The 13689-nt window shown below is 39.2% G+C and overlaps 1 annotated feature.

Moving 5' to 3' along the window:
• Positions 8846–9361: an enhancer, noted in NCBI's record as "OCT4-NANOG-H3K27ac hESC enhancer chr2:148206969-148207484 (GRCh37/hg19 assembly coordinates)". NCBI's record gives its function as "activates a minimal SCP1, AML or CMV promoter by ChIP-STARR-seq in naive H9 embryonic stem cells {active_cell/tissue: H9 hESC(naive)}" and the evidence as "EXISTENCE:reporter gene assay evidence [ECO:0000049][PMID:30033119]".

Here is a 13689-nt window from a genome sequence, read left to right on the forward strand (position 1 = left end):
GAAGGGGCAATACTTAAACACAGCCCTGCAGCAGGGATAGACAAACTGTTCTCCAGTCCTGTTAGTTTGTGATATGCTATATCCTAAGGACACATTCCACCCCCAACTCATCAATGATTATTGTCATCATGAATTATTCTTGCACTGGTTAGTCAATCCCTTTCTTCATAGACTTGACTAAAGAACTCTCTGTGCAATTTCAGCTGCACTTCTTCCTTACCACTGCTTCTCATATCCTCTTTGTTTTCCTGGGTCTCCAATTTCATTCTTTCCCCCGCTCTTCTTAATCCATCATTCTTTGTGAGACACTGTTGGCTGAGCACTGCACAATAGGCCTTGTCTCACCCTATTTACCATGCCCATTAAATCTATTAGTCTCACTACACCATCAGCTTTTAAAAGCACCCCTTTCACAGGCCCCCTTCTTACCTGTTCTAATGACATTGTTCCCTCTCCCACTGCCCTTTGAACACTCATGTCATTAAGCTCCAGTTTCACTTGCTTTTGATAATGACAAGATGGCTGCCCTCTATAATCTTACTCTGGAGACTAACAGAGAGTACTTCTACAGCAGCAGCCACAACACATATCTATTGATACCTATGGATGTCTCCCTTTGCCTCTCCTTCCCTCAAGGTCCCAGAGCTGTTATTACTGTGATTCTTTTACCACCATGAGTGGCCCGTTCCTCACAGCAAGTCTCATGTCATTTGTCCACAGACTAAGCTAGCTCACACAGGCTGTTTTAATTGGTCATTCCCATTTACACAGGAGGGTGGTGAATTATGTTCAGCCCTTCCCTCTTCCTCTTTCCTCCTACTAAGCGTTCTGCTCAGATGTTTAACTCCCATTCATTTCCTCAAATATTTACTTACTGAGTGTGTTTTAACCACCAGGCTCTGAGTTAGGTGTTAGAGAGACAAGATAAATGAGATTAGTCCCTTCCGCAAGGAGATTCCCATCTGGGTGCAAGGGAGGGAGAAGATGGACCAATGATTATGGGCTAATTGTTTTATCCAGGCAGGAAGGAATCCAGGCACTCCAACTTCTGTCTTGTTTCTATACTAAAAATAAAGGGAGGCTGTGCAGAGCAGTGTCAAAACAGACTGCACCAAAATCAGGATGAACCTTGGTTCAAAACCTAGTTCAGCCACCAATTTGAATAACCTGAGGCAAGCCACTGGCAGCTTCAACAGAGCCTGGGGGTCCTCAGCTCTGAAGGCCAATGTCAGTAGCACCTACCTCCCAGGGGCTATTGTGAGAATGAAAATGGAACAGCACCTGCAGAGGTTGATAGCCCAGCACTTGACATAAATGTTAATTCAAGGTGCACATGTTTCTCACATTTCCCAGAAATCCCTGATTTTTGAGGCCAAGTATCCTTCCAGGAAAGTGTTTCCCCCAGTAATATACAATTGGTAATTTTTTTCTAGGAGTGTGGGTTTGTTTGAATACATGTGTGAGATGGATCAGCTTTAACTGTACTTGGGTTGAGGCAGCTCAATTAATTCATCTAGAGATGAATTAATCATCTAGCACCTTCCCTCTAGAGACGTGGTGCCCATCAGATTTGGGGCATGGGGAAATTAGAGTCTCTGCTGGGAATTTATTCATGTTATACAGTAGAGCTGGATTTATTACCACTGACAGTCTCCACACAAGGGGAGCCTGAGACTTGAACAGCAAGGGTGTTCCAGATCAGGAGATAGCCATATTAACAGACTTTCCATGGAAGCCTCATGTCGACTGCCTGAGCAGCAAAGGCCTTGAACCCAGCTCCTGCTTCATTTCACTGTGACAGAAGACCCCCACCTTTACCCACAAGGGAAGGGGCTCTCACAAAAATCCTCTCCATATCTTACCATCCTAATGACTGCAAAGTGTCAATTGAAGGGCAGTGAAAAATGATTCTTGAGCCATGTACAGACCACCCCAGCATTTTAAATTACAGATTGTACAAGAAAAATATAACTTCTTTTGTTTTGCCCTGCATTCAATATAATCTTATCAGGATTGTCAGGAAGGAATAATACAGTAGTCAAAAGAATATTCAATGCTCCTTCAGGCACTTTTCAGAATCCAGAGTGTTGGCACATATTTAAAAACCAAATACAGAAGAAATGCATAACTTAGAGAGCTCAGGTGCTAAATTAGCAAGGGCTGAGGGAAAGAACAAGTTGGGGAAATGCTTCCTCAGAATGCGACCTAGACATTAGCCACAGTGTTTCTAACTCTTGTCAATGCACTGGAGTCTGGTGCGGATGTTAAAATCATCCGACAACTTGTAACCCAACTATAGGCAGTTAGATATAAGCTACAAGTGTCTATTTTTACACACCAGCAGCAATTCCCTTGGGAACCCTAGCCTTGCTTTCAGCCAACTCTTCTGTCATCCCTGAGAGCCATTCACTCCTATGAATGTTCCATTCTCTTGTTGGATGCCTTTAGAAAGTTGCCTTCCAGTTCCTAATTACCTCAAGCAGCTGCCTAATGCAGCTTCCAGGCTCAAAACACTGTGGAGTATCCATTTTAACACTATCACTGACTGGTGTTGAGAGAGGGATTGCTTCTGTGCCTGTCAGGAAAACAACAGTTGTCATATTTATTGCCGCCTAGGAAACTAGGATGCCCTGCCATTGTACACGGGATTTTTTCCTGGGGGGCTCTGGCTGATGGAACACCAGGCATACCAAAGAGGAATGGCTTTGCTCTGCCCTCTGCTCTCCTTGGCAAGGATACTCAAGTACTATCATCAACAAGTCTATATGTACACTGCCTACAGGAAACATTTTACAAGCCAAAAGCAGTTATGACAACACCATTAACACCAACATTGACAACACAATATTAACTCTAGGTAACATGGTGCCCACCTCTGGGCAATGGCTTACTTATTTCGGGAAATACCAAGTTACAAAAAGCATTCAATAAAGACTTGTGGATTAACTGACTCCTTGGTTCACCTGGAATTCATCTATTGAACACGTTGATATTCACATTTTGATACAAGAGGGTAGGGTATTCACGGCAATGGCATTTGCTGCCAGGGTTTTTAGCCTGCCCACATTTTACAGAAAGGAAGATACTGTCACTGAGGCTCCTTTGTTTCCCACAAAGAATAAAAAAGCTGCCAAAAAAGAAATTATTAAGAGAAAAAAGAGAAGAAGTTCTTAAAGGGTTTGGCTTTCATCATTAAAGAAAAATCAACATTTGCATGTATTGTTAGTGAAAGTGTATAGCTAAGTGCCATTTAATTTGAGACTGTTTTCAAAGAGTGACCAATGGTTAATTGCTAGTGTTTCAGACTCACTTTTCAATCATCTCTTCCTTTCTTTTCATCAATGGTTTCAGAAAATAATCTAGTTTCAGTAGAAAGTATCAAAAGTGCAGGGTTTTTAAATCAGAATAAACATGTAAAATTAGTTTTCCCAATTTGAGAAAATGAGTATTCTGGGTGCTACCATTTCTCCCTTAAAGTCCCTATTAGGACCTTCCAGCATTAAGCTCTCCCAACACCAAGTTCATTTTGCTTGGTAATTCGGAGGTAACTTCAACTTTGTGATTTTTTTCCAAATCAAGAGACCCAAAGTAGCGTGTTCTTCCTTGGAAACACCCACATCCACCTGATATCACAAAATAAGCCGATTTGCTTTGGGAAGATTGTCCACACCTTGATTTCTCAACAGTCACCTTTTGCTTAAATTTATTTGGATGACCTGAACACTAAGGTCCCTAGGCATCTACTATATCAGTGTGGTGGAAAAAGACAGCCAACTTGTTGCTGCAAGACTTGAGTTTGAGGCCTGGTTACTCTATGCAAAGTGGGCAAGACACATAATCTTCCTGAGATTCAGAGTCCTCATTCTTTAAACTAAAGATCAGAGCTAGTATCTCCCCTCTCCTTCATCCGTTTTCCTCTATGATTCTTTACCAAGGACACACAGATGGTGTAGCTAGGAAGACAAGAGGAAACAGAGAGGGAGGTGAGACTCCATGCAGTGCCATAGTTACTGAGAAACTTCCAGGATATCATGCTTTTCTTCATCAATCTTTTTTATAATTTGTACCAAGGGAGGAGAATGATTCCCAAGGAAATGGGATTCTAAACTCCTACTATATAGTAGGAGCTTAGTAACTTCAACTGAGGAGCCCAGTTATGTTTTCTAGAGATCCTCAATCAATAGAATTGGCTCTTATCAGGACTCGGAAAGCAATACCCCCAAATAATGGACTCAGAAGCAGTCAAAGAAGCAAGTTTTTCTTTGATCTTCTCCTGCCCTCCTGTCTCAGTCCCACTCTTCCTCAAGGCTAGCCATAGAAACTAGAATCTCTCTTCCCCAAGGTGGGTCAGTCTGGCTTCCCCAAAGCCAGACATAAAACCTAAATATATCACTCTAATTTTCCCTCTGCCTTTCTGTGTAAAAACTGGCCATAAAGAAATTATCTGACCTATCTTGTTTGACTGAAGGCCAAAAGACCCCCATTCCAGAAAGGGCCCAGAAGAAAGGAATATATGCTCAGAGAGGCCAAGAAGAATCTAGACAGACAAGCCTTGCTGGGTTTTCTACTCAGTCTATTAGCATTGGATCACACCGTTTTTGTCCAATCATATTTTTACACAACCCTGTCCATAGCTTGTTGAGCCTAAGCATTAAAATGGACAATTCCTCCTATACCTTTGGATCTTCAGTCTAAAGGCTCCAGGGTATACACATTAAATAAATTTGTATGCCTTTTCTCCAAACAATCTGCTCCTACACTCTCCTTTCTATGGAAAGATGGAATTACTTACAAATGCTTCTAAAATGCACATTTGGATGCTCTTCCCAAAGCGCTGATGGATTTGTGATATAATTTTTCTCCTGCCGTCTGTGTATCTGAGAATACCTGGACAGACTGCTAGAACCTGGACAAGACTAAATGCCTGAAGCTGCAACATCTTCAGCTGAAAATAATTAGCACTGAACCCTTCCCAAGGCAGAGGATCATGAAGATTCACAAGAGAAAAGAGAAACAGAGAGAAAGAGAGAACATTTGGTCCTTTTGCTGTTTACAGGAGAAAGATAAAGGAAGGGCTTTTTTTTTTTTTTGAGATGGAGTTTAGCTCTTGTCATTCAGCCTGGAGTGCAATGGCACGATCTTGGCTCAAGGCAACCTCCGCCTCCTAGGTTCAAGCGATTCTCCTGCCTCAGCCTCCTGAGTAACTGGGATTACAGGCACCCACCACCACACCCAGCTAATTTTTTATTTTTAGTAGAGACGAGGTTTCACCATGTTGGCCAGGCTGGTCACGAACTCCTGTTCCTGATCTGCCCGCCTCAAGTGATCCGCCTGCCTCGGCCTCCCAAAGTGTTGGGATTACAGGCGTGAGCCACTGCGCCCAGCCAGGAAGTGCTTTCTTATATGTCTATCCGTTACATTCTCTTTTTACTTTTAGACTTTTTCATTTTTCCATTCATATCCTCTGCTCTATATGCTCTGCTCTATATCCTTTCTCATTCCCCTAGTGAGAGAATAGTAAATGATGTTTTGACTTTTTTGTTATTGTTTTTTGAATATTCATATTGACTGTGTTCACCAATAGTCAAGATTTTCTATTAGGCCCAGAGTGAGACTGCATTTCCTTGCCCCTTGAAATTGGGCAGAGGCATGCGATTTTGTGTTACCAGTGGAGGGTGTCCAAGTTCTTGGTGTTTTAAACAAAGAACTGGACAAAATACGCAAACAAAGCAAGGAAAGAATGAAGCAACAAAAGCACAAATTTATTGAAAACGAAAAGTACACTCCTCACAGGGTGGGAGCCAGCTGAGCATAGGGGCTCAAGAGCCGGGTTACAGAATCTACTAGGGTCCAAATACCCCGTAGAGGTCTCCCACTGGCTGCTTGGTTTTCACCCCATGCAAATGAAGTGGTGGTCCACGATCAGTCTAATTGGTTGTGGAAAGCAACCAATCAGAGGCTGAAGTGAAGTTACAAAGGTTACACTTTTATGCAAACGTATGGTGGGGGGTGATTTGCAAAGGGAGTAGCCTCTGTTCCTCTTGTTACTTGGGTGTGGAAAGTTGGGGTTTTCCTTTCTATTTAGTTCTAGGAAGTCAGCATGAATCCACCTTAGGTTTTCTGCCTCCAGACCCTATTCTCCTGCCTTAAATGGAATGTGTCCAAAAATAATGTGTATTGCTTTGGAGGCTTTCTTCTCCCTACCATCGTGATCAGCAAATCTTCAGACAATGGAGAGTCCATCAGCTTGGCTCCAGATTAAGAAAACCCAGAGCAGAGCCCCCAGCTGATGATAGTGGACATGTGTTGTGAGCAAGAAATAAAACTTTGTTGTTTTGAGCCACTAAGACTTGGTGTGTGTGTGGGAGGGGGTTCTTCTTATTGCAGCATAACCTAGCCTATCCTGACTGTCACATTGTTGTTATTAATATTATCAATTATGGTTAGTTTAAGGCTGTCAGATACTGTTGCATATAGTGCAGTTTGGTAAAACACAAAATTTCTAACATTTAAATAAATAAGTTTTTCAAAGAGTGCTGTCCACAAAGAGTTTTTGTGATTGTCTGCTGGTTATGGAGTTCACCAGTGGCAGTTTCATCTAAACAGAATTTTCTGTATATTTATAGGATACTGGTTCTGAGAGAAAATGTTGATTGGAAAAAAATCAAGAACACTTTTGCCTTCATCACAGACATATTTCAGGGATTTCTATTAGTGAATAATTTGTATGAGTATAGAACAGCTGAAAACTTGCCAGAAATAGATACTAACAAACTAAAATTATTGTTTCCATGATTATTTTATCATCTCCAATACCCTGCAGCTAAACTCTCAATGATTTCTAACACCAGATAAAATTCAGCCAGTTCAAAGCAGGCTTATAAAGTAATAATCCCGTGAAGTTGAATCTATAGAAATAACAGACTGACCTGAAAGTATTTTTAGATGAGCATTTTTCGCTGGAGAAAATAATTACATATTGGAGAATGTAGATATAAATAAAAGTTATTTAATTTTTCCTGAACAAAGCCTCATCTAGCTGTTGGCATCTTTAATGCAATAAGAATCACTAATTCAACCTCCACCCAATCTCTATGTTCTGAAAACATTCTGGCAGAAGTTTAACAATTGTCATTCTTTAATCTGGCAAAAATCTTCTCCTAAATGTGAAGTTCTGGCCAATAGAAGAAAACCCAAGAAAAGAAATTCTGTCTTTCTTCAATCCAGATGAATAGACAACAGGGAACCTCAATTAGAAAGAGGCTGCTAGGTTATCTCCAAAACATTTCTGTGAAAATCAAAGGAACTTGACAAGGATAGATCTGAACAGAGAAGGGAGCACTGGGTTAATGTCTTCACTATTTATCCATGTCAAGTTACGTGAGTGAACATATGAACATCATACTTTGAACAGGCTTAGAAGCTAAGACAACTTCTTATTGTCACACATCAATTCCAGTATAAAATAAACATTAATTTCAGTATAAAATAGTGGCACATTAATTCTGGTATAAAATAAAACATATGTACACTGTTTTATAACACATCATTTTTCCTTTATTTGGAATAGTCAAGGGACTCTTTTTTAGTTTCTCTTTTTCTACTCTTGTTTTTATGTCTATAAATCATTTGTCATGAAAAGCAGCTGTCCCCATAAAATTCTTCTTTACTCCATCATAATCATGACTTGACCCAAAATATCTGTAGTGAACAGGCATATATAGTAATGTTAGTTATGAGGAACAAACATAAAATCAATATATAATAATCTCATTTAATTTAAAAATAAAAAATGCATAGGCCCATAAACCAGAGAAAAGAAATTGTCTAGCCTTGAACTACATCAAACATTGTTTACTATTTTTCAATTTTTTCCTATAGAGAAATGGTTTTTTAAATGTTTCTGAGTCCCACTTTTTATACATATATTAGGTTTTTTTGAAGTTATCAAAATGTGCACTAAACAGTGCCTTCATAGTCTTTCTGGTTGCAAAATTCTAAAACAAATGCACTGAATACGTAGCTTATAAACGAATAAGATAACTGGAAGTTAGTATATGTTTGCTTTTTTTCAACCTTAAATAATCAATTCTCAACTGATCAGAAGACCAAAATGTATTCTTATTTAAAGCTAGTTAATTCACTTTTTCTGATTAATTTAAATAGAATCAAATCTTGTTCTATGCTTTATTATGAAGCAATGCTCTCATATTTTGTTTTTATTTTTATAATAAATTTTGTAAGGCGAATATTTTTTCTCTTGTAGTCAGTACATGTTATTTACATAATTAGTTCTTCCTTTTAAAATACCAGGACTTTCAGGGATTCAAGATAGAACATTCCATAACAATGTAAGTGATAGAGATATAGCAAAAATTTAGGGTGGTGGATCTCAAACCATTTAGGGGTAAATGTATAAAAATCACTCAGAAGAGTTGTTGGTTTTGTTTTGCTGTTGGTGGTGGTGGTGTTTGTTTCAAACTACAATGTTCATCCCCACCTAAGATTCTGGAATATTTATGGTCTGGAAAAATTCCTCTGGTGATTCCCAGGTCCATTGCTTTAAGAATTCTTTTAATATAACATAGAAGTGTTTGTTTTTACTAACATTTGCATATTGAATTATCTTCTTTTTTCATCTAAAAATTATGGTGCAGCTAAAAAAACTCTAATTTAGAGAATTGATCCATCTAGTTCTTTGTAAGGACTTAACTGCATGGCTAGCTCTGCTTCTCTATCTATACAGACAAATATGCCTTCTTTGTCTTTCATCAAATTGCAAACATTTGCTTAGAGAACTGGGTCTGGTGAGTTGACACTACCAAACACGGTGCCTTGTAGCTAACTGGCTTTGCTATAGTCAGCCAGGATGAAACAGCAGCCAATGAACCAAGCCTAAAGCACAGAAAGGAAAACGGCGCTGTGAAAGAAAGAGAATAAAGCACTGGGCTTTGCAAACTAGGCTAAGGCCCCAAACCACAAGATTATCTTGATGCATGTGATTGGGAAGGAGGACTAATTAGAAGAGAGGATGTCATTTTATTTTCTAACCAGCCCTCTCTGATCTGAAGCCATGACACCCCCTCACTTGTTACCTAGCAACCCTTCTTTGTATATGTAAGGTTACTTCATTCCTGCATTGTTATTCAATTTATTTGCCATTTTAAGTGTCTTGATCCTCTCTAGGATCACCCTGGTGTGATTGGCTGGCATTAGTCTCTAAAATACCGGAGGGCAGTCTATTAAGTGGATCCAAATGTCATTGTACAGCTCACTGTAATCTACAGATCTGTGCTAAACAAACGCTGTGGATTTCACCTTGGTCTTGATGATTTTACCAGAGCCCTCCCCCTACGCAGCCCCAACCAACCAGCCTCCGCCCAACCCAGAAAATGCTGTCATTGCTTTTATCTTGATTGAAAGAATATATGCAGGACTGGTTCCTTTAACTTAGTGGAAAAATGACTATCAATTTAAACATTAACTGATGCCCAATCTAACCACGAAGCTAAAAACAGAATTCACTTCAGCACATAGCAGAGTTTCTCAGAAAATCACCACCCTACTAAACTTCACAATTTCACCTAAACCCTAGCAATATGTAAATAGGTAATCAGCCACATTTGGAAATGTATTTTTTAATCAGGTAGTTTAGATGCATAATCACCTCCAAATCAAACTGCCATTAGAGGCCATTAACTCTTAAAGGAAGGAAACTCAGTTGGCAGTCAGAATTCTATCAGAGATAAAGAGATGCTGGCTCTACCTTTAATTCTTGTAAAATCCTGGGCTTGCACTTTTCTTCCATCTGCCCCTGTTTTTTTTTTTCTCCTTAAAAGAGAATTGTGATTCTTTCCTAATGCTAGATAAGAATTAGGAGGATCAACAAAACAATGAACACATAGCACTTGAGTTCTTAGAAAAGGACTGTTGCCTCTTTATCGTTACTATTTTCCCCTCAGTCAGTCACTTCAGAATTTTGCCTAATGTGAAAACTCCAAACACCTTCAGAATACCAATCCTAGTACATTCTAATATACACTATCTATATACAAACTAATATACATACTGATGATACAATTTACTGAAAGCAATTATACAGTATTATTCATTCTAAAATGACCCCCATTGCAAAAACCCACATCCATATTCATTGCAGTACTCAAGTAATTCTAAAAGCTTCACTGCCATTCTTTTGGGGTTTTATACTGAAAAGGAATTTGCAAGCATGTGTTGTCTACCTCCCACTGTGTGAGTTGGGGGGATAATGGCAACAGGTGGACCTAAGTCCTGGGATATGAGACAGTGGGATGTATGGCCTGCCAAATTTAGATAGCTCAATTAAAACAGCCCCATTCATCCATACCAAGAACAGAATGCGGAGAAGCTGGGGGAGGGAAGGAGGGAAAGCAAGCGCAGGTGACAGCAACTGTGGATTTTCTTCTCTGGGGTCATTAGCTATGTTTATATTTCTATAGCATAACTGTGTTACAAGCTAGCATGGCTATTTTTGCCTCTGCCTCATCATTCAGTGCAAAAGGGCAGAGGTGAGTGCCTATAAATTCACACAGCTGCTGGCTAGGAGAAGGCATTTGGAAAATAATTCAGTAACATGGGCCTTTATTTCACTGAAGGAATTGTTCTTTGAGGAACATTCCCCCTAAACCATGAGAGCACTCAGGTTCCTGCAAAACCTTCCCAGGCTAAAGCAAAGCACAATTTCTAGTTCTTGTGCCAGCCGGAGATATGCAAAGATTTTTCTCAGCAGGAAGTCACTCACAGACATCACATGAATATTTAAACAATGGGAAGCCAGCAAAAAGATTCTTTCACGCTGCAGGATGATAGTGACTTCTGAAATTATCACAATTATCATTCCATTATTGCAAAACAAATGACCTGATTTATTATGCTCTGCCTCTGCTCATATCTGGATCTCTTCCTGATATATTACACAACCAGTTACTTAGGCATTCTACACAAACAGCATTTGTATCGACTACTTCATTAATATTTTGATTACTATAAATCTCAGGGACTCAATCCACATCCTAGGCTAGAGTCATCTCTCCCCAGCCTCTCCCTCTGAAGAAGACGATGAGAGAATTTGAGAGTGGGATATGATGATATAGTCTACGGAATTCTGGGAAACGAGTTAGCTCATCACCTAAGTCTCCCTTCAGGGCAATATGCTCCTTGCTTACATCCCACAGCAGAAAAAATCAACAGTTCTTCAATCAGTGTAAAAAGAAGTTTACATTCAAGAAATCTAGGCGGAAATGCTACTCTCAACAATTCCAGTGCTACATGTAACAGTCCATCTTTTAAAAAAAAAAGTTTTCTGGTTGTCTTTTCTGTGAGAAGTAAAGATGTGGAAAAAAAGTCACGGAGGAGTTATAACAGTTAAGTAATTAGTAAAGTAGCAAGACAATACTAAAAGCCCGTTGTTTTTGTTTTCAATTATGTCCTCTTCTAAATCCTTCAGCTACCTTAGGCTGCTTTGTGCACCCTGTGTACCAACCTGTGACCCATCTGTAGGGAGAGCAAGTTTGTTTACCCTCTTAGCAAAATTCAGCAGAGTTGTCATATCCCACTGGTGACATGGTGGGACATGAGAGGAATTCTGGGACAAAACGTCAAACAACACACTTGGCAAAAGCAGATTATGATAACATGCATGTTGTAATAAGACAACTAATGAGCCATGAGTCAAATTCCCACTTCAGCCACTGGAACATTATCACAGTTTAAAGTGCTTGAAAAAGAGTGTGTCAGTGATACACTAATGACTTTAAGTGGGCTCATGTGTCAGGCTGGAGGTTGAAAAGAAAACTGCAAACATTTTTCATGTGCTGTGAAATGACAGCAAGTGATTTGAAGCTTTACCTGTCCAGTAACAACTTTAATCAACTCTTTCCTCATCTGGGTCTAATTTTTGCTCAGAGGGCACAGATGGTGATCTGCTCTCAAGGTGAATCTAAACTACATTGGTCCAGGTAAACTGCCAGTTAAACCTTTAGAGGAAGGAAGGAAGGAAGGAAGGAAGGAAGGAAGGAAGGAAGGAAGGAAGGAAGGAAGGAAGGAAAGGCAGAATTAGCAGGATTCCAAAAGCAACTGACCTTGTGGAACCTTGTGAAACTTCCATTACAATAAATATTATTGAACATTATATAGAATATTATACAAAAATGAGCAAGACACATTCCCAGTTCTCAAGGAGATGATAATATTGGAGAAATATAAAGAGCAAGAAGAATGAGGGTAATTCATTTGAAGGAGGTCACTATATACACTATATTCTACTATAATCTTCTTTGTTGATTGTTTATTGGAGAACTTCATTAGAACTATGTTCCCCAGACAAGAAGAAAGCAACTAAGAAGTAATTTCATTTTGTGATTTAGGGAGAAAAATCAGGCTACCATTCAAGAGCCATTTAGATAAAGATAAGAAACATAACTCTTAGCCCTATTCCAACTTCAATCCCAGAAATGAACATAGGAGAAGAAGTAACCAGAGAATTGGGGAGATTTGACAACTTGGTATGTTCTTATCTTAGTAGGCCACAGGGATTAGTATAGGATCCTAAGAAAGGGGTATTCCTAGTATAGTCATGAAAGGAGACTATCATGGATACAGTAAGAGCCTGGCTGGCCTGATCTAGAGGGAAACACAGTCTGCCACTTCCTTTACATCCTCTACATGGGAGGGAACATCCTTGTATCACACAAATGATGCTGAGAAATATTATTCAGCCACAGTTGCCTCCTCCATTTAAACCAACATATTCTCCTTGGAGGAGTGATACTTAAGAGAAGTGTATTTATTTCCTTTTGCATTGGGAAAGGTGCACAAGAACTTGAGCAGACAAAAGACAAAACTGAATCTTCTGCAAAACAGCAATATTATTTGGTAAAATATCTTCTCCAGGGGTATTTTTCTAACCAGAATCAAAACCATTTTCAATGTTGTTTTTTACTATCAGTCCTTAATGATACATAGCTTAGAACTTTAAAGGAATTTAGCAACCAATCAGGGAACTAAAAAGAGAGAGAGACAGAGATAGAGAGGCAAGGAGAAAGACACAGAGAGAAAAGGAGAAGAAGAAAAGAAACAAAGACGGCATTGTATAAAGTGTACAAGTTTAAACCTTTGGAGAGAAGAATTCTGTTGCATTGCAAATACCTGGAAACATTGCTTTTTTTAATTGTGAAAATTCTCAGCATTCTACTATAATCTTCTATTGTTTAAATCAGACACATCCCTTACCACAAAACAAGTTGTAATTGGCCTTTGGCATTACAAGTGGGGTAACACAAGGAGAAATTTTGGCAGACATCATTTAACATTCTCCCATTATACTTTCCAGGATGTTAGTTTTATTTTCCTATTTCCTTGGATCCAAAAGGGCTTCTTTTTAATTAAGGGGTAAAGATGTTTTTCTGTGCATCTTTAATTCTTTCAGTCCACTTGCAAGTCAGTAATGATGCTAAAAAATATTTCTATCATTCTTAATCTAAGTCATAATGATTTAGCAACTGAAGAGATGACCCTCCGTTGGTCATCTCCAAGGTCTCCAGCCTCATAAACTCCAGCCTGAAAATGGCAATAACCCCAGATCTAAAGGCATGTTTTCAAAGAGCTTGCAAAATCTACAGCATGATAATCATGTAATCAGATATGTGCAAG

The sequence above is a fragment of the Homo sapiens genome, chromosome 2, assembly GCF_000001405.40.
Source record: "Homo sapiens chromosome 2, GRCh38.p14 Primary Assembly".
Lineage (NCBI taxonomy): Eukaryota > Metazoa > Chordata > Mammalia > Primates > Hominidae > Homo > Homo sapiens.